Source organism: Homo sapiens, chromosome 7, assembly GCF_000001405.40.
Source record: "Homo sapiens chromosome 7, GRCh38.p14 Primary Assembly".
In the NCBI taxonomy this organism is placed as follows: Eukaryota; Metazoa; Chordata; class Mammalia; order Primates; family Hominidae; genus Homo; species Homo sapiens.
Genome location: NC_000007.14, coordinates 103,580,678 through 103,602,914, shown reverse-complemented (window position 1 = coordinate 103,602,914; position 22,237 = coordinate 103,580,678). Strand labels below are relative to the sequence as shown.

Below are 22,237 nucleotides of genomic sequence, written 5' to 3'. Positions count from 1 at the left end.
GCTTAGAGGTTATGGGCAGCAACTCTGGAGCCAGATTGCCTGTTTCCATCCAATTTGACCACTTTATGATTCTTTGATTTTTTTTTAATTATTTAAGTTCTGGGGTACATGTGCAGAACGTGCAGGTTTGTTACATAGGTATACACGTGCCATGGTGGTTTGCTGTACCCATCAACTCATCATCTACATTAGGTATTTCTCCTAATGTTATCCCTCTCCTAGTCCCCCATCCCCCAACAGGCCCCAGTGTGTGATGTTCCCCTCCCTGTGGCCATGTTCTCTCATTGTTCAACTCCCACTTATGAGTGAGAACATGTGGTGTCTGGTTTTCTGTTCTTGTGTTAGTTTGCTAAGAATAATGGCTTCCAACTTCATCCATGTCCCTGCAAAGGACATGAACTCATCCTTTTTTATGGCTGCATACTATTCCATGGTGTATATGTGCCACATTTTCTTTATCCAGTCTATCATTGATGGGCATTTGGATTGGTTCCAAGTCTTTGCTATTGTGAACAGTGCCGCAGTAAACATACGTGTGCATGTGTCTTTATAGTAGAATGATTTATAATCCTTTGGGTATATACCCATAATGGGATTGCTGGGTCAAATGGTATTTCTAGTGATTTTTGAAGCACATTATTCAACCTCCTGGTGATTTAGCTTCCCCATCTGTAAAGCAGGGATATGGAATGTCTACCTCATGAGGGTTAGTATGTAGATTAAGTGAGTTAATATTGGTAAATCATGTAGAACACTTCATAACATATAGGAAGCACTTCTGTATGTGTTTATTAAATCTGTCAATCCATTAATTTTAGGAATATGATTGGAAGAAGGAGGAATAGTGATGAGAGTGGGGGTATGTAGAGCTGTTCCTAGAGAACTGACCAGCTGTCTGGGGTGGGCAGACATCGCAGGTCCTACTCTGACTTGGTTTGGTGGCTGCTGGTGGCATCTGCTGATGTGGGACTCTGTATGAAAGTTTTTCTTGCAGTAGTCAGCTTCCCTAGTGGTAGCACCAGATTAGGCATGCAGATTGCTAGAAACCAACTAAGGACTGAGGTGCCAACCAGAATCACTAAAATTGATGCTCTTGGAATACCTCAACCTGTGTCGCTTGGTTAGGGATGCGAGAGGGGTAACCACCTCTCTCTCCTCCCTCACTGCAGTCTAGGCAGGACATTCTTTTTCTCTTTTCCAATCTGTCTCCTTATATAGTCTTGAAAGGGACTAAAAAGACAGCAGGTCCAGTATCCAACCTGAGCAATGTGTCTAACCCTAATCTTTGGAATGTGGAGTGTGTAATATCACTTCTTTCAAGCAGGTAATATAGCCACCAATTCTGAGGCAATTGGAGGTGTCCCACTTTACAGCATGTAACACGTAGACAGGTGTGAGTGATATGCTACAGGGCTGATATGTTGCAGAATCTGGGCAGAAATCCAAGATGTGTTAATTTATGCAAATACAAAAATAGCTGCAGGTTTTGTTTTAATGCAGGTGAAGAACAAAGAAACAGCAAGTAAACAAGATAGAGGATTATAGAAAATCAGGAAAGGAGTCCATTTAACAGTATTTCCTATCCGTTGACATGGAAGGTCCTCCCCTGATGATTATTGTTAAAGATAATAGTCGCTCAGTTATCAAAATGCATTGCACATATCTGGATCACCTGTTGTTCAGAAATGGAAAGGTTGTGGTCCTATAAGCATCAATTTTAAAGTAAGATTGTGACTCTTTTACCAGTATGTACTCAGACACCCCAGTAAGCACACATACACATACACACACACACACACATTTTAACATGTAAAGGGTTACATATCAATATTTCTTCCACTTAATTCAAGATGATCTCTGAAGTCAGACAGACTATCTGGGCTCCAAAATTTATTGGTTGGTTCACATTGCAAAGTTATAACAACTGTCTGTATCTCAGGTTTCTTGACTGAAAAGTGGATATTGAGAGGAATAAGTAAGTCGATGCAAGTAAAGAGTAAAGAATAATGTTGGGAACACAGAAAGAGATCATATGTGTTAGGTATCATAGTTGAATTTTATGACAATAAATTCCAAATTTGTCTTATTGAATATTTTCACATTTATGCCCTGCAACTAACTAAAAATCATCATTTCAAAAGTAAAATTCTCTGCCCCTTCCAATTCAGCTTTCCCCCTAAATTTTTGTCAAAATATCCCTGGGTTATATTTTACTTTTTTCTGTTGATTCATTCAGAACTGTTTTGAATTCTAAGTAAGAGGAACTATCTTAAGTAAAAAAAAGGGAGAAATTTGATTTATGGGAGGGAAAACACAAGGAGGGCTTAAATGGGGCTGGTGCAAGGGAGACCTGGAACCAGTAACTTTGAAGCTCACAGAACTTTCCCCTTGAGAGTAGACCCGATTTGAAAGAGTAGACCCGTTTTGCAGGCCAGCTCTCACTATGAGAATGGAACCACAGCCACAGGGCTTTCCAACCAGCTCCATAGGAAAAAACAGGGAAGACTCCTGGCGGCCAGTCACAGTGTCCTGGGAGGAATGGTGTGCTATAATTGTATAGCCAGATTCATGCACTCACTTGTTTGGCAGCAAGGTGGATACACTGTCTGGCAGCCCCCACCAGCAAGCATGTTGAAGTGAAGGGGCAGTAACCCAAAGGAAGGGCTCCTTAGACCATTTGCCCACCAGCCTAGATCATATTATCTAAAACTTATCTCCACCCAGATGTGGTGGTTCACACCTGTAGTTCTAGCACTTTGTGAGGCTGAGGTGGAGTATCACTTGAGGCTAGGAGTTTAAGAGCATCCCAAGCAACATGGCAAGAGCCTGTCTCTAAAATAATAAAATAAAATTAGCTGGGCATAGTGGGGCATGCCTGTACTCCAAACTACTCAGGAGAATGAGGCAGAAGGATCGCTTGAGCCTAGGCATTTGAGGTTGCGGTGAGCTGTGATCACACCATTACACTCCAGCCTGGGCGACAGAGGACGACCCTGTCTCAAATAAATAAATAATACATGCATACATACATAATTCATTCTTTCCCTATCCGATCACAAATATTCAAGATGGTCTCTGATACTCCTGCTCTAACTACATAGCTTATATTCATTTTCTAGGCATGAGCCCTTTGCTCCAGCCACAAAGCTCTTCTCACCATCCAAGTTTTTGCCACTGCCTACCATTATGCCTTTCATCTTCTCTGCATTCACATAAAATTTCGGTGTCCTGTTCAAATTCCACTGCCTCCCTGAAGCTTTCTGGAGCTCTGGCAAACTGTACTTCTCTCTTTTCTTAGAATTCCTCTCTGATTTTTACATATAAAGATCATATTTAAATTTTCATCCTCACAATACCAAGCAGAATGTGGAGTCTCACAGACTGAGCCAAACTCTGGCTAAGGTGTTCAGCTCAGAAATGCATGTCATGCACTAGACATTTACAAATCAATACATACTCTTGAGACTAAATAGATTGGAAAATTAATAAGTGATCATATGACTAAATGGGGCTTGACAAGAAATCAGAACTGGGTCTGCAGCCCTCAGTTGCCATTCCTGTCTCTGCCAGAAGTCTGTGAATCCCTTCATTTTTGTTTTTATAATACATGGTGTTCTGCCTGGTATAATTGTTGAAGAAAGACTGAATAAATGAATGAAAAAAAAAGAAAGACAATTGGGAAACAATAAAAGATTCTGAAGAAATGGTTATTTTCAAGTAAATAGAATTGCTTTCTAGTGACATTTTGATTAATTTAGAAAGACTTTAATGGAAAGCAAAAGGTGATTAGTCATGAAATGTTTTGGAGGTTTTGTTATAAACGTTCTAGATTCTGAAAGCCTTACCTGTTAAAACTTGTTTTATTTTAGCTAAACCCTTAAAGCAGTAAATCATTTTAACCTAGAATTTGGGGGGAAATTGGAGGCCATTTTCCATATACCAGGAATGGCACAATATTATTACTCCAACACATATGCGCACACACACATTACATGTGTTTACACATATACACATAAATACATTGATCACAGCGTAACAGAAAAACTGCAAAGCATATGTTACATTGAATTCTGAATTCTGGCAAAAACTTTGCCATGAGCCATTTCCCTTTTCTTTTTTCTTCCTTTAAAACAATGTTCAGCATTTCAGGTCACCAAACAAAAGAAAATGATTTGTGCTATTCTCTAGGAAAAAACACTTTCAGTGCCAAACTAAGCATTTGTGTGATATTTTCCATCATTTACAAAAATCTCACAAAACATTCTTTCAAAACCTCTGTAGACTAACACCATAGTCTCCTGGAAAAACAACACTACTCTGAATTTCACAGTAGAGCAATCATTTCAACCAACTAATTGTGATAACTGGATTTTTAGAATTCCCCTCACCTTAGATCTTTATCCTTCTGGCTCATTTCCACATGCCAGGTTTTTCACAGGAGTTTGCTGGACTGGAATTAACCTGCTAGGTTCTATAGTTTTTCTTCCAAAAATCATTCTTCCTGTAATGATCGGGAGGGTTGAAAATGCTAGGATCTCTGAGTTGTTCTCACTTACAATATTTCAAATCAACAACAGGAAAAATTAAAAGGCATATATAACAACTTAAAAATGCATGTAACTTACAAGATTTCCTCAAATACATACCTAAAATTGAGATTTCCAAAGAATGAGTTTCTGTCTCTGAATTAACTTCAGTTCTCATTTTGCTAGCACCCTTGTTTATTTTGAAAACTCTTAATTGGCTTTAGACCTATCAGTAGCAGTATAGTCTTTTAATTAACCCCAGTTATTTCCCCTGTGACTTCTAATAACCGAAACCCTTTCTTAATTAACTTAGTGGATTAGAGTTTAAATCCTAAGTGTGAGAGCCATTTTTCTGTAATACTATGTATATTATCTCAGGTTTTCTTCCCGACTTTTAATTGAACTTCCTGGGAACTCTCAGAGACCAGCTCAAGAGAAATCCATGGATGAGCTTTGGAAGAATCTGTTTAGGTGGAAGACTTTCATAAGCAAACCTTTCTTCAGCCCCATTAGCTGAAATCATTTTGAACAACAGGAACAATGACAAACCTTGTTAATTTCTGTCTGACACCTCACCACAGGACTGTGACCTGCAGGGGACTCACTAAGCAAAGGAAGCAAGTTCTTGGATTTCAGGAAATTTGTAACACTTTTAAGACACAGAGACCATTTAGTGGTTGCAACAATTTATTTAAATGATCTCTCCTAACTTCTGTTTGTGAGAGAGAAGGAAAGGAGACTAGGATCCTGAGAGATTCGATTCAAGTACTCTTTATTTTCTTTTTTGAGACAGAGTCTCACTCTTGTCACCCAAGCTGGGGTGCAGTGGCCTGATCTCGCTCACTGCAACCTCCATCTCCCAGGTTTAAGTGATTCTCCTGCCTCAGCCTCCTGAATAGCTGGGATTACAGGTGTGTGCCACCATACCTGGCTGATTTTTATATTTTTAGTAGAGACAGGGTTTCACCATGTTGGCCAGGCTGGTCTCAAACTCCTGACCTCAGGTGATCCACCCACTTCGGCCTCCCAAAGTGCTGTGATTACAGGCATGAGCCACCGCGCCTGGCCTCAAGTACTCTTTCTTTTTGTCAAGAAGCTTCTACGTTGCCTGGTCTACTTTAATGCCCACAGGACAGGAGGGTCAGGGCCATATCTCTGGAGAGGATGTTCCCTCTGGAAGGCATGCTGTGTACTAGCAAGTTCCATGCAACATGTTATTTCATCTAATTGTCACAACACCATATGAGGAAGGTATTATTATCCATATTGTACCTTTGAGGAAAATAAAAGCTCAGAAAGGTCACACAGCTAGTGATCAGTATGAATAATGGGCTGAGATTCAAACCCAGCTCCAACAGATTTCAAATAGATGGTCTTTCATCTGCATGGTTCTGCCTAGAGGAAATATGCAAAGTAAGGATTCAGAGTGTTTTCGTTAAAATTTTAAAAAGCTTTTTAGTACTCTTGGTGTAATTAGCAATTCCCAAGGGTCTCTCATAACCCAGCCTGGGAATCAGTAATGTAGACATTAACCAAAGGTATCCAGCAACAGTTACCGTAGTCGGATCAGAAACAACTAAATGGCATGACTGCCCTCTCTCCACAATAAATGGGGACGAGACCATTTCCACATAGTGCTAAGATGTCCATGTGAATTTGGAACTGAAACAACAAAATGCCAAAGAACTCCCAGATTACTGAATTTGATTTTTCTTCTTTTCTGAAAGGCTGGGAAAAGACAGCTGGTGAGTTGGGACCTGGATACTTCTTGGGTGGACTTTGTCCAGTTCTACATCCAGATAGGCGGAGAGAGTGCTTCATGCAACAAGCCTGACAGCAGAGAGGAGGGCGTCCTCCTTCAGTACAGCAACAATGGGGGCATCCAGTGGCACCTGCTAGCAGAGATGTACTTTTCAGACTTCAGCAAACCCAGGTAACTACCCACCTGATGGTCCTCGCATTAGTTTCCAGGAATGGTAAAGGTTAAATCATTGTTGATGTGTTTCCAAAATGTTAACTGTTGCAAAAATAGACAAACCTATAAAAATTTAACATGAATGATAGCCCAGTATATAAAGATTTTATTTCACTTAAGTGACTGGACAGAAAGCATTTGTATTCATGTTTGAATTTTTAAAGATTTTTTAAAGCTTGTGACTAGAAGAAAAGCAAGATACGTAACCACTGTTTACTCAAAGAAACCATGGAATATGGGGATGTTCCACGCTCATTTTCCCATTTGCAGGCTTGTTTGATTATTTTTAATGCACACACAAATTATGCTTAGCTCTTAGATTTAACAGTAAGATGGATTTTTTTGTTAAAGTGTTTCACATGGCTGCACCAAGGGCTATCCCTAAACAGTGTATGAGTAAGTGTATAGAGCTCAGATTTTCTAAAAATTTTGCCCTGGCCTATCCCTGTCTTAATTTTGATGTATTGGGAATATATGTAATAAAATATCTTAGGCAATGACTGTTGAAGAGTTTGGGGAGATGACTCGTGTTTAATACTAATACCAGTACCAGGCAATGTATTTATATGTATTTAAATTTAGTTCTTTTGCAATTATGTAGTATTTTGAAATTCTGTATTTATATTTTATATAAGTATTATTAAAGTCTATTCAATGATATTATTTTAGAATACTTTTTATAATCTCTGTATTTTCATTTTAACAAAAAAATAATTTTTTGTATGTTGACTACTATTAAGTTTTAATATATGGATCTTGTCCCTGTTTTCATTTTACAAATGAGACTTGTTTATTGAAAAAAAATTATTTAAGACTATATAAACCCAGTTCTTACAGACTGAATATGTTTTAAACATTTTACTTAAAGCATACCTATTTTGTAGATTGAAGGTTCATAAGTTTGACTTTTTAAAGTATTAGGTCATTTAAAGGTGACAGAACTTACCATGATAAAACATAAGTAGACATGCAAACAGACCAACAGAAAGCATTTCTTCTAAGGGATTTAGGGGAGAAGGAGAAAACAGAAAAAAGGCAACTGGATGAAACGAGAGATATCATAGGAAAAGGGTGGGAGATGAAGCCTTGTGAGATTCTCCTAGATGCAATATAGTAGAGAGGGAATTGATAATGGTGCCAAACTGGCTTAAACAATAATTTTAAATAACTCAAATTATTTTTTCCAAGTAATATGTGAATCTGAAATTATTGAGAGTTCAGTAAGGTGACTAGGTAACTCTATAAGTAAATAAAAATGTAATGGCTTCCTCAAATTGCAGAATAGCATGTCTTTGTGATGAAAAATTACATACACAAAATTATTTTAAAATATAGTTTTACTAACATGAGAATGTACTTATGATGTAATGTTAAGTTTTAAAATGTAGATCACCAAATTATACGTATAATGCCTTGCCTATATAAAAGATTATAAGCTGTGAAGAGATACATCAAAATGTTAACAGAAGCCAACGCTATGTAGTAGATTATGGGCAATTTATGTTTCATTTTTAATGCATTTTTATGTTTTCCCACAATGAGAAAGAATTCCTTTGAAAAAAATGTTAAATATTATCTTCATGTAATAGTATTAAACAATTTTATCTTGATATTTCTTTAAAAAGTTATGACCATTGTCATGGTAGTCAAAAGATATAGTTCAATGAATCAAACTCAGTTGAAATATTCTCCCTCTTCTCCAAAAGATACAATTCCAAATGAAATAAACATGACCAGGACTAAACCTGCCTACAAGGTTAAACCTCAAGTCTGATATGTCCAAACTTACGGGCTTTTGGAAAATATTGAGATCAAACCAAACAAAACTTTTCTCTTGTTGTTACCCTTGTTGTTTTAATAGCTGAAAAAAAAAAAGCACAGCTTTTGTTTTCCCAACCGTAAATGATTTACTTTTATTCAGATTTGTCTATCTGGAGCTTCCAGCTGCTGCCAAGACCCCTTGCACCAGGTTCCGCTGGTGGCAGCCCGTGTTCTCAGGGGAGGACTATGACCAGTGGGCAGTCGATGACATCATCATTCTGTCCGAGAAGCAGAAGCAGATCATCCCAGTTATCAATCCAACTTTACCTCAGGTATTCTCCTATGTCTGAACTCCAAGAAGACAGATAATTATAAAAGTGAATGGCATAAAGAACTCATTTCCTTAAGGATTTAGTGCTTGACACTGAATGTATAATATAAGTTTAAGGGCTTGTACTTAATTTTTTGTTACCTCTCTATGCTACCACTTCACAGATAATTTAGATGTAAAAAAGACTGAAGTCTGGTTAAATCATCAAGCAAAATCGTTAGTGTGTTTATAAAATGATTAGATACACAGTGGTAAAATACTTTCAGTTGTTGAATCATCAGGAGAAAAAGTTAATAGCAGTAAAAAAAAATAGAGATTCTTCTGTGTTTTCCTAGAAATGCAAATGGTACATGGCCCAGCATGTCATGAAATGAAAATTCCTTTCTTGTTTTCAAAGCTATCAAATTGCCTTTTGTTTTATTTGTATTGTTTCTATTAGAACTTTTATGAGAAGCCAGCTTTTGATTACCCTATGAATCAGATGAGTGTGTGGTTGATGTTGGCTAATGAAGGAATGGTTAAAAATGAAACCTTCTGTGCTGCCACACCATCAGCAATGATATTTGGAAAATCAGATGGAGATCGATTTGCAGTAACTCGAGATTTGACCCTGAAACCTGGATATGTGCTACAGTTCAAGGTATTTATGCACAAGCTTCTTCCCAGAGCAAGTTAAGGAGTAAAATATCTTCCAGATGTATAAGTGGAACTCACAAAGAACACAAATTTTTCATATTCTATTAAAGAAGGGACTCACCTGTACGAAAGCTTAACAGTGTTAGAATTGCGAAGCTTTTCAGCTCTACTCGAAAGCAGTTATTAGTTTTTAAGGAGTCCCAAAAGTTGTGGGTATACCATTTCTTTAGGTACTCAAGGAACTCTACCAGAATTAAAAATAAAATTGACTTTTAGAACTTCAATCTGATTGTGACTTAATGAATCTCAAGCTTCTAAACGATGATGAATAAGTTGTCCTTTTCATCTTGCTAGTGGTATTTGAACTTACAAGGTATTTTATGCTTTTGCTGTATTATTTTCAAACAAATTATCTTACTTAAATTCAGTAAATTTTTACTCCAGTCATCATTGTTCTCTTAAAAGCTTCTTGTTTTTCAGCTCTGTGATAACATATCAACATGTATAGCAAGTATTTACTTTGACAAGGTCTTGTTTCAGAACCCTAATCAAAATTTCATTGTGTTTATAATAAAATCCCATAGGTGACTTCTGGGGTTGAAAGTAATGCAGTTTTAATGAGCTAGCACAACTACATGGTCCTTACATAATGGCAGGATGCAGATGCTAAATAATTTACAAATGGAATTATTAAAGAGATCAGATGTTTATAGGCAGCTCTTCAAATACAATTTCCACAGGTCTGTAAACAAGGAAGTGAGTCATAAATAATATGATTAGTAAAATGTAACCCTTCCTTGTTTAGATTCTGATGCTAAACTACAATGGAAAAATATCAATAACAATATATGAATCTATATTCATTTGTTGGTAATACCTAAAGTAGTAACAAAATAATGTTAATAGCAAATATATTTGCAGAACACTATGCTGTTTCTCATCTGACACCTTTTCTATTTAATTAATCACAAACCATGGTTGTGTAGGTATTAAAGTCTGCAAGATAATATTCTGAAATTTTTAAAATCTAAATTTAAAAAATAGTGTTAAATATTTCAAGCATTTAAACAATGATCAGGAATGCACACTGCTTAGGAAAAATCTTAATTCTCTACCATTTGACCCAGCAATCCCATTATTAGGTATATACTCAAAGAAGTATAAATCATTCTACCATAAAGACACATGCATGTGTATGTTCATCAAACCACTACTGACACTAGCAAAGACCACCTAAATGCTCATCTGTGGTAGACTGGATAAAGAAAATGTGGTACATATACACCATGGAACACTACACAGCCATAAAAAAGGATGACATCATGACTTTTATAGCAACATGAGTGGAGCTGGAGGCCATTATCCTAGGCAAACTAATAAAGGAACAGAAAAACAGATGCCACATGTTCTCACTTGTAAGTGGCAGCTAAACAATGAGAACACATGGACACGTAGGGGAACAGCAGACACTGGGGCCTACTTAAGGATGAAAGGTAGGAGAAGGGAGAGGATCAAAAAACTACCTATTGGGTAGTATGCTTATTACCTGGGTGACAAAGTGATCTGTACAGCAAACTCCCGAGACACACAGTTTACCTATATAACAAAATTCAGATTACAATGGATTTTAAAATGTTGAGTAAAGAGGTCTACACAGTGAATACGACCTTTCTCTCAATTTGTTTAGCTGTGTAGTTAGAGGGAGACCAAAAATCAGGGAGAATTTTTATTTTCTTTTGTTTTATTTTTATTTTTAAAGATAGGAGAGACTTAAACATATGTATCTGATCCATAGAAGGTACACAAATAAATATTTGTTGAAGGTAGGCCTAAATCCTGAATGGAAAGTTTAAGATAAATTTTATGTTTAATACAGCTGAGAGTATGTCTACACTACCCTATATCTGATTTCTAAAGCACGAACTTGTCACAGAACTTCAAGTTCCAACCACTTGTCTGTGTTAGAAACAACAGCAATCATGGCAAATTTAAGACAAAAAGTTAACTAGGTGTGCCCAATGTGGCTGCTCTCACCACACACCAACCAAAGGCCACTGTTACTATTGAATAATGCAGTAAAAGGAATTTGTGTTAGAAGAGTTTAATCATGCATCTGAGAGGGTTAAGTTTTTAATTATATTCTTGATGTTTTACTATATAAACTTGGATAAATTGTGCACAATAAAATTTCTACTAACCAAATTATAAATTCTCTGAGAGATGCTTTCTAGCTGTGAGTATGGAAATAAAGAAGATACTAAATCTTCTTTTTAAAAACTAGATAAAGCTGCCTTACAGTCATGAGGATTAACTGATTGACCTCCTGAGCTATGGCTCAATATTATTAGTCCATGTCTCTCCCTTTATTTTTTTGTCGTATCATGTTCTTTTCATTCCTGATTTCAATTTTCCTTCTAAAAATCAGACTATTCTTATTTAGTAAAGTCTTTTACAACAAAATTTGTGGCTCCCGCCAACAAATGAAATAAGATGTAAATAAGCCATTCATATAAGATGGCAGGTAATTAAATGAACATGAGAAAAAGAGTTTGACATTTATAATTATGAAAAGTGTAATAAAATTCATTTACACATTTATTTGGAAATAAACTGTCTTAAACTATAATACCCAATGCCTAAACTGATTCATTTGGACTCAGCCAATACAAAATGAGCACAGATAACTAGAAAATTTTAAGTGTTTCTACATTTTGACTCCTTAATGCTACTCTCAGGAATTTATCTGGTGATGACAAATCAAAGAAGAAAGGTATATTCTCTGCAACGCTATGTATAACAGAATGTGGAGGAAAGCTCTAGATGTGTAATAACTTCAACTGTAGGACCAAAATATAGCTTCCCTATAAAGATCAGAAGAGAAAATAGAAAAGAAAGGACAGTTATGATAGGCCAGTGGGATTTAAGTTGTATTTTTACCATTTTTTAAATGTTGTTAATCCTATGATGAGTCCTCCATACAAGTACACCAAACAGTAACAGTTTCATTTCTGGATCATGTTGCTTATTTGATGCTGTGATAAACACTCAGCTGTTTCATCTAAGTTGACACTGATTTTATTTTATATTTATTTATTTATTTATTTATTTATTTATTTATTTATTGTTGAGATGGAGTCTGGCTCTGTCACCCAGGCTGGAGTGCAATGGCGTGATCTCAGCTCACTGCAACCTCCGCCTCCCAGGTTCAAGCAATTCTCTGCCTCAGCCTCCCGAGTAGCTGGGATTACAGGTGCCCGCCACCACGCTGGCTAATTTTTGTATTTTTAGTAGAGACAGGGTTTTACCATCTTGGCCATGCTAGTCTTGAACTCCTGACCTCATGATCCACCCGCCTCAGCCTCCCAAAGTGCTGGGATTACAGGCATGAGCCACCGCACCCAGCCGGTTGACACTGATCTTTAATGAGCTTTGGCAAGGAAACAGAAGGAGGATGCTTGTTCCACTGAAACCTTCCTGTACTGAAGAAGACAGCTGCTTCTCCATCTTATGGTTTCCTCTGTCTGTACCCTCTGAGGAGGGAGAAAAAAGCAGCTTCTTGGCATATCTTTTGTCTGAGACTCAAGAACCACATACACTGTGCTTCTCTCTTCTCTCCTATAATCCCAAGAAATCCACAAAATGAGTCCAGTTTTCTAGTAAAAAGTACCTATTGTTTGCTTAAACAAAGAATTCCAGAATCTATTGAAGGGTCTTGGTTGGGACTGAGCTCACAATTCCTATCATTGTAAATTCAGTGCAGACCCATTGGAAGGCACCCTGGATGCTGTAGCATCTAATTTGTTGAGTGATGACTTAGAACCAAAATCTTGTATAATTCTTGTCCTTCCTTTTAACAGCTAAACATAGGTTGTGCCAATCAATTCAGCAGTACTGCTCCAGTTCTTCTTCAGTACTCTCATGATGCTGGTATGTCCTGGTTTCTGGTGAAAGAAGGCTGTTACCCGGCTTCTGCAGGCAAAGGATGCGAAGGAAACTCCAGAGAACTAAGTGAGCCCACCATGTATCACACAGGGGACTTTGAAGAATGGACAAGAATCACCATTGTTATTCCAAGGTCTCTTGCATCCAGGTAAAGTAATCATTCTTAATGGGTTTGGGCCATTAAGAAAGACACAGTCCCAAATGCTATAACCCTAAATGTTGTAATCCTGAAAGATCAAAACCCCGAAAATACAATTCTGGGAAAAATAATTTTTAAAACATTTATTTATATCTTAAAAGGGGATTTATCTGAGAAACATAAAAACATGACAGAACACTTCATAGGCCACTTTACACAATACTTATTTTTGCAAGCATAAACATTCAGATATACTAAAGACTGTTGCAATGGCTTAACATTTATGAGCAGACAAAATGTATACATAAAGAAATAGGTCAAAAAGCAAAATGTATAAATGTGTATCACCATGGTGGGTAATTGTTTGCACTCAGCTTTATAAATGTGGCCATCTGAAATACTGACAGACAATTTAACTCTTCTGATGAGGTTGATCAAAAACCTCAGTGGGTCACCACTGCATATGCAGTCACCAAAAAGCTGAGACCTGAAGAAATTTTATCTTTCACAAAAGCAGATGTATGAAAAAGATGTCTCTCCCTTTACTGAGAAAGTTTTTCAATATTTTTAGGTACACCCACATACACACAACATCAACATTGCACTTTTGTGGAGTCAAATTTGCAAAAAAAATGCATGAAACAAATTATAACTCTAAAAGTCCTTACATAATTTACACATCCCATATTGGAAATGATGTGAAGATATAGCACATCAAATAGATAGCATAGCAAATAGGCACAGTGTGGGAAGTGCAGAAGTCCTGTGACGGGATAATTTGGTGGGGGAGATTTCTTGTATTTTTGGAGATTTCTTATATTGTTTTCATTTCTATGATCTTCAAAACACTCACTATGCTTATATTTGGAGACTGGTTGTGGTCTACAATGTTTGTAGGGATATGCTGTCTGAAAATCTGGTTATTGCTCAGCCATTGCAATTAAGCAATTTTCTGCTTTCATAGCACCAATAATAACTAGCTTTTACACTTTTGTATGTCTTATTTGTCAGAGTACATGTGAAATATTGTTACATGTACATAATGCATACTGATTGTGTCAGGATATTTAGGGTGTCCATCACTTGAGTACAGTATACTTTTGTTAAGTATAGTCACCCTTCTCTGCTATCAAGCATTGAATTTATTCCTTCTATCTTACTGTATGTTTGTACGCTTTAACCCACTTCTTTTCATCCTCCTCCCTCCCTCCCTTGGTAGCCTTCCTAGTCTCTGTTATCTGTCTTTCCAGTCTCTATCTCCATGTATGAAAAACATGTGATCGAATATTTTAGATCTCCCACATATAACTGAGAATATGCAATATTTGTCTTTTTGACCCTGGCTTATTTCACATGAAATAATGGCCTCTGGTTCCATCCATGTTGCTGCAAATGACATGATTTCATTCTTCTCTATGGCCAAATAGTATTTCATTGTGTATATCCATGTATCTGTTGATTAACATTTAGGTTGATTGCATATCTTAGCTATTGTGAACAGTTCTGCAATAAACACGAAAGTGCAGGTATCCCTTTGATATATTGGTTTCTTTTTCTTTGGGTAGACACCCAGTAGTAGGATTACTGGATCATATGGTAATTTTATTTTTAGTGTTTTGAGAAATCTCCATACTGTTTTCCACAGTGGCTGTACTAGTTTACATTCCCACCAACAGTATATAAGAGTTCCCTTTTCTTCATATCCTCACCAACATCTGTTTGTTTGTTTGTTTTTTGTCTTTTGAATAATAACCACTGTGACTGGGGTAAGACAATATTTTATTGTGGTTTTGATTTGCATTTCTCTGATGATTAGTGATGTTGACATTTTTTCATATACCTTTTCACATTTGTATGTCTTCTTTTGAGAAATGTCTATTCATGGCCTTTGCCCACCTTTTAATTTTATTTATTTATTTCTGTTGCTGTTGTTTGAGTTCTTTGTATACTCTATTCCTATTATATTGGTCCCTTGTTGGATGAAAAGTTGCAAATATTTTTCCGATCCCATAGGTTGTCTCTTTACTCTGTAGGTTATTTATTTTATTGTGCAGAAGCTTTTTAGTTTAACAGAGTCTCACTTGTCTGTTTTTGTTTTTGTTGGCTGTGCTTTTGAGGTCTTAGTCATAAATTCTTTTTAGACCAATATCCAGGAGAGTTTTCCATAGGTTTTCTTCTAGAATTTTTGTAGTTTGGGGCCTCATGTTTAAGTCCAATCCATTTTGAGTTGATTTTTGTATATGGTGAGAGATATGGGTCCAGTTTCATTCTTCTGCATGTGGCTATTCAATTTTCCCAGCACCATTTATTGCAGAGGGTGTCCTTTCCCCAGTGTAAGTTCTTGTCAGCTTTGTCAAAGATTAGTTGGCTTTAAATCTGGGGCTTTATTTCTGGATTATCTATTCTGTTCCATTGGTCTGTGTGTGTATTTTTACACCAGTATCATGGTGTTTTGCTTACTATTGCTTTGTAGCATAATTTGAAGTCAGGTAAGGTGATGCCTCTTGCATCCTTTTTGTTTAGGATTGCTTTGGCTCTTCAGACTCCTTTTTGATTCTATGTGAATTTTAGGGTTGTTTTTTCCAATTCTGTGAAAAATGACATTGGTAATTTGATAGGAATTACATTGCATCTGTAGATTGCTTTGGGCATTGTGGTAATTTTAACAATATTGATTCTTCAATCCATGAGCATAGGATTTTTTCCATTTGTTTTTGTGATCTACAGTTTCTTCCATCTACAGTGTTTTCTAGTTTTCCTTGTAGAGATGATCCATCTCCTTGGTTAAATGTATTCCTAGTACTTATTTTATTTTGGAGATTGTCAATGGGATTGAATTCTTGATTTTGTACTCAGCTTCAATGTTACTGGTGTATAGAAATGCTCTGATTTTTGTACGTTTATTTTGTGTCCTTAAACTTTACTGAAGTCATTTTTCAAGTCTAGGAGTTTTTTGGAAGGGTCTTTAGGGTTTTCTAGGTATAAGATCATGTCATCAGTGAACAGAAATAATTTGATTTCCTTTTTCTCAATTTGGATGCTTTTTATTTCTTTCTCTTGCTTGACTGCTTTAGCTAAGACTTCTAGTACTATGTTGAACTGGAGTAGAGAGGGTGAGCATCCTTGTATTGTCCCAGTTCTTGGAAGGAATGATTTTACCTTTTCCCCACTCATTCAGTATAATGTTGGCTGTGGGTTTGTCATATATGGCTTTTATTTTTTATTTTTATTTTTATTTTTTTGAGATGGAGTCTCACTCTGTCGCCCAGGCTGGAGTGCAATGGCGTGATCTCTGCTCACTGCAACCTCCGCCTCCCAGGTTCAAGCAATTCTCCTGCCTCAGCCTCCTGGGTAGCTGGGATTACAGGCAAGCATCACCATGCCCGGCTAATTTTTGTATTTTTTAGTAGAAACGGGATTTCACCATGTTGTTCAGGTTGGTCTTGAACTCCTGACCTTGTGATCCACCCTCCTCGGCCTCCCAAAGTCTGGGATTACAGGCATGAGCCATCACGCCCGGCCTGGCTTTTATTATTTTGAGGTGTGTTGCTTTGATGCCCAGATTGTTGAGGGTTTATATCGTATCAACATCATGAATGGATGTTGGATTTTATCTAATGCTCTTTCTGCGTTTATTGAAATGATCATATGTTTTTGTTTTTAGTTCTGTTTATGTGGTGAATGACATTTACTGACTTAGGTGTGTTGAACTATCCTTACATCCATGGAATAAACTCATTCAATCATGATGTATATCTTTTCGATGTGCTGTTGTTTTCAGTTTGCTGGTATTTTCTTGAGGATTTTTGTGTCTATGTTCATCAGGGATACTAGCCTGTTTTCTTTTTTGGTTGTGCCCTTGCCTAATTTTGGTATCAGGGTGATTCTGGTTTTATAGATTGAGTTAGGAAAGAATCCCTACCCATCAATTTTTGGAATCTCTTTAGTAAGATTGGTACAAAGCCCTGCTTTGTACATCTAGTAAAATTTATCTGAATCCATCTTGTACTGGGGTTTTTGTTGTTTTTGTTGTTGGAAGACTTTTTCTTACTGCTTTAAAATCATTACTTATTATTGGCATGTTCACAATTTCTATTTCTTCCTAGTTAATGCTTGGGAGGTTGTATGTTTCCAGGAATTTATCCGTTTTCTCTAGGTTTTCTAGTTTGTATACATAGAGATGTTCATAGGAGTCTCCAATGATCTTTTTTATTTCTCTGATACCAGTTGTAATGTCACCTTTATTATTTCTGATTGTGCTTATTTGAATCTTCTCTCTTTTCATCTTGCATAATCTAGCAGTCTATCAACTTTGTTATCTTTTCAAAGAGGCAACTTATCATCTCATTGATCCTTTGTATTCTTTTTCTTGGTTTCAATTTCATTTAGTTCTGCTTTGATCTTTGTTATTTCTTTTCTTCCACTAGCTTTGGGTTTGTTTTGTCTTTATTTTTCTTCCTTGAGGTGCAATGTTAAGTTGTTAATTTACAATCTTTCTATCTTTTTTATATAGGCATTTAAAGCTATAAACTTTTAGCACTGCTTTTGCTGTATCTCAGAGGTTTTGGTATGTTGTGTCCCTATTTTCATTTGTTTCAAATTTTTTTTTTATTTCTGCCTTAATTTCATCACTTACTCAAAGATCAGTCAGGAGCAAGTTGTTTAGTTTCCATGTAATTTATATAGTTTTGAGAGTTCCTCTTGGTATTGATATCTAATTCTATTCTGCCATGGTCTAAGAAGATACTTACTATAATTTCGATTTTTAAAAATTTATTGAGACTTGCTTTGTGGCCTAGCATATGGACTGTTTTTGAGAATGTTCCATGTGCAGAAGTGAAGCAGTATATTCTGTGGTTGTTGGGTGTAATGTTCTTTAAATGTCTGTTATGTCCATTTGGCATAGAGTCCAATTTAAGTCCAGAAGTTCTTTGGTCATTTTCTGCCTCAGTGATCTATCTAGTGATGTCATTGGGGTGTTAAAGCTACCGATATTATTATGTTGCTGTCTGTCTTTTTTCTTAGGCCTAGCAGTATTTATTTTATGAATGTGGGTGTTCCATGGTTGGGTACATATATGTTTAGGATGGTTGTCTCTTCTTGTTGAATTGAACTCTTTACCATTATATAATGCCCTTTTCAGTCTTTTTAAACTTTTGTTGAATTACAGTCTTTTATCTTACATGAGTGTAGTTACTCTTACTCATTTTTGTTTTCCATTTGTGTGGTATATCTTTTTCCACCCCTTTATGTTGAGTCTGTAGGTGTCTTTACCCATTAAGTGGGTCTATTGTAGGCAACAAATAATTGGATCTATGTTTTCTTATCCAATCTGCCAGTCTGTACCTTCCTAGTTGAGGATTTAGCCCATTACGTTCAAGGCTAATACTGATATGTGAAATTCTGTGCCTTTTGTTGCACTGCACTGTCCTTTCCCTGGGGAGCAATACTCCCTGTGGGCTAGAGAACTGGGGGACCTTGCAGTACCTTTGGGCAGCCAGTGCTGCTCCACTGCAGCCTTCCAAGTGGGCATTGGGAATGTCAGCAGGAACTCCTAGGATGTGGAGATATGGGGGCTGTTACCAAGGGCAAGATGCAGTCCTATGGCAGTGGCAGTCCCCACATGACTTCCTGCTGCAGCTATTCAGGTCTCAGGAGTGGGGCATGAGTGACCTAGCGTGAGTTCCCTGTCTGGTGCATTGCCTTCACGGGGTCTCCAAATCACCACCCATGCTAGTGTCAGAGTTTGTGTGGGTAGTGGCGCTCTCCCACAGCTCGGATTGCAGCAGTCTGTGGCAGGGAGGTGGACTGCTGACGCTCTTTCCCCATAGTTCCAAGCCCTTCTAGGTTCCTGGCCAATCTCAGCCATGCTGGCTACTTGTTTCCTTCTCCTTTTGTGCCTCAGGTGTTTCCTGTGAGTTCTCTGTTTGTCTTTAGTATTCTCTCCTAGATGTTCTATTCAAGGTATGGTTATCTACTCATAATTTTGGTTCTTCCTTGTGGAAAGGATGGGTGTCTGATATCTCTGGTCAGCCATCTTGAACTGGAATCTTCTAAACTTTTATCTTTCACTATTAAGTCGCCTCACACACTTAACTTGTCACAGCCTTTTTGTGAGGAAACAAATTTGCAGATCTCTTTCATTGTATTGTAAGGAATACAGTAAGAAGGAGTGATATTTGGCTTCCCCAATATCAAATCTGAATTAGTTAGGGTTCTCCAGAGAGACAGCATCAATAGGATATCTATATATGTAGATACATGAGAGGGGATTTTTTTAGGGGAAATTGGTTCACACGATTATGGTGGCTAACTAGTTCCGTGATAGACCATCTGCAAGTTGGAGACCCTGAGATGTCAGTAGCATGGCTCAGTCTAAGACCAAAGGCCTCAGAACCAGGGAAGCCAATGGTGTAATTCTCAGAGAGAATAGCATATGGTTTGGATGCTCATTATTGCCATTCAACAATATTTCCAGCTTTCTTTCTCCCTAGAAAAATGGAGGATTATACTTTCCCCCCACAGCCTGTAAAGTTTGGCATGTCTAAATGAAATGTGAATGAAAATGAGACATATGGCTTTAAGAGCCCATGTACACTTTGCCATCTTTCTGGCTCCGTGGAAGCTTGTATTGAGATGAATCTTACATCTCAATGAGGGTCTACAATAAGCAGACTCCCTTGCCAACCTACACTGGACATATAAAATAAGCAAGAAATAAACTTTTTCTAGGTTAAACCATAGAGATTGAGAGTTGTTTGTTGCCGCAACATAACCTATCTCATTCTGACTTTTATGGTAAAAGCTTAACAATCTATAGACGTGTCTTATTCATAAAGTTCTTGGAGGTCATTCTGTTTGTGGCATCTTTCACCTAATTTATCACCAGTTTACTTTGCATCATCTGGCAAGATAAGCTGGTTGTGCTCTCTGCCTCCTTGTTACTTAGATGTGCATACCTCAAAAAATTACACTACAGCCTTTGGTAGGCAAACTTCCTGGATAGGGAAGGAATTTCTTTGGTTAAGGATGTACCAGTTTCTGTGATCTGTTAAACTTTGAAACATAATCTTTAAACACCAGCTATCTCAAGAAAGTTTGTCAATCAGTGGCTCCAACTCATAAGTAATTTATTTGTCCTTATATGCTAGTGTTCTTTGTAGTTTATCAAAATGATATGCAAATGCCTTCAAAATTTGTTGTGTAGGTGGCAGAGTTGATGAATTTACCACCTTTAATGAAATTAAGAATTTGACTTGCCATATGCTTTAGTTAGGATACAGACCCAGCTACTATGACAGAGAAACACACAAACACAAATGCTTAACAAATTTTCAACAATATAGAAGTTCATTCTTTCTCATATACTGGTCCAAAAGTGAGCAGTTCATAGTTGACAAGTTGGCTCTGCCATCCTGAACACCTGACTTCCATCTCTGGATCCAGGGCATCTGTTCCAGATTTTGCCATCTCTTAACCAGTGGGAGGAAAACAGAGTCAGGGATAAACAGATAAATTACTTTTTAAAAGAAAAATCCTCTTTACTTTTTGTTGAGATTCCTCAATAGAGCCTAGGATTATATTTGCTTAGTTACCTTTTGCTATGCAACACACTTCTCCAAAATTTAAGAGCTCAAAACAATAATGATTTATTATCTCTCATGGTTTTGTGGGGTTGGCTGGGCAGTTCTTCTGCTGGTCTTCCTGGGCTCCATCATCTAGTTGCACTCAGTTGATGAGTTGGTAAGAGTCTGGGTCAGCTGGACCTTTCTCTCCATGTAGTCTTCATCTCAGTATTTTTCAGTTCGGCGGGCTCCAGCATTCCAAGAGAGGAAAAGTAACTGCAAAGCCTCATCTCATTTGCCACATCCTTTTGGTCAAAGCAAGTCACAAAGTCAGTCTAGATTTAAATGGTGGCTAAAAAGACTTCCTTTTTTAATAAGAAGTGCATTAAAGTTGCACTACAGAGGAGCATATACAAAAGGAAGTGTGATTAAGTGGGAGGCATTATTGTAACTGTCTACCATGGTCTGTTTTAGCCCCAGTAATTCACATCTCTTCCACTTGAAAAATGCATTCAGTGTCCTCCCAAGACTCCCCAAATTCTCATCCCATCACAGCACCAGACACCAAGTCCCTGGTTGTATTATCTCCATCAGGTTGAGATGTGAATGTGGGTCCTTGATCTCTAGACCTGTAAAGACAGGTAATCTACTTTACCCTTACCCAACATAAAATGGTGAGAAAATGTCAGGATAACCACAAGAGATACTCCCACTCAAAAATAATAATAATAAACAAAAAGGAAGGAATGGGAAGCACATAGCAGTCACTGGCCCTCAGAAATTCCAAATGCAGCAAGAGACTTGTTACTAGGGCTCCCTCCTCTGAGAACGATGTCCAGGACAAGAACATTCCAATGATTAAGACAGGTCTGTTCCCTGATAGTGGTTCCTTCATCCACTGGTCTTCTCAGTTCTTGATTGTACTCTCCAGACTTCACCCCCTGAGAACATCTCTCTTTTTCCATAAGAACATATCTGTGTTTGCAGCTATATAGCAATGTCATTCTCCTTCCTGCCCATCTCCAGCTGTGCACCCCTTGTACTCTTCACCTCCACCACTGCATTCCTCCCTCCATACTTTCCAAAACTGTGGCCCAAATGCAGCTCTTCCAAATAGATCAGTGTAATGTGCCATGAAGTTGGAGAACATCAAGTGGCACATCATTGCTACAACGATACAATGAGGAGCCAAGGAATACAAATCTTGTTTGATTCCCCTGAAGCCCAATAATAAATTTATAGCTGAAGGAGGATGAAAGGCGTAAGAATGAGACAGTGGACTTTGGGGACTCAGAGGGAGAAGTTTGGGAGGAAGGTGAGGGATAAATGGCTACGTATTGGGTACAATGATCACTGCTCAGG

At 37.4% G+C, this 22,237-nt stretch overlaps 1 protein-coding gene across 2 annotated transcripts in view; it reads left to right on the top strand.

Moving 5' to 3' along the window:
* The window catches only part of RELN (reelin), a 517,870-nt gene that overhangs the window by 386,744 nt on the left and 108,889 nt on the right, over positions 1-22,237 (top strand). For both annotated transcript variants that reach the window (NM_173054.3, NM_005045.4), the window contains exons 25-28: positions 6,254-6,459; positions 8,423-8,594; positions 9,033-9,233; positions 13,087-13,319. In NM_173054.3, coding sequence (NP_774959.1) covers positions 6,254-6,459; positions 8,423-8,594; positions 9,033-9,233; positions 13,087-13,319 — 812 coding nt within the window. The remainder of the gene's footprint in view (positions 1-6,253; positions 6,460-8,422; positions 8,595-9,032; positions 9,234-13,086; positions 13,320-22,237) is intronic.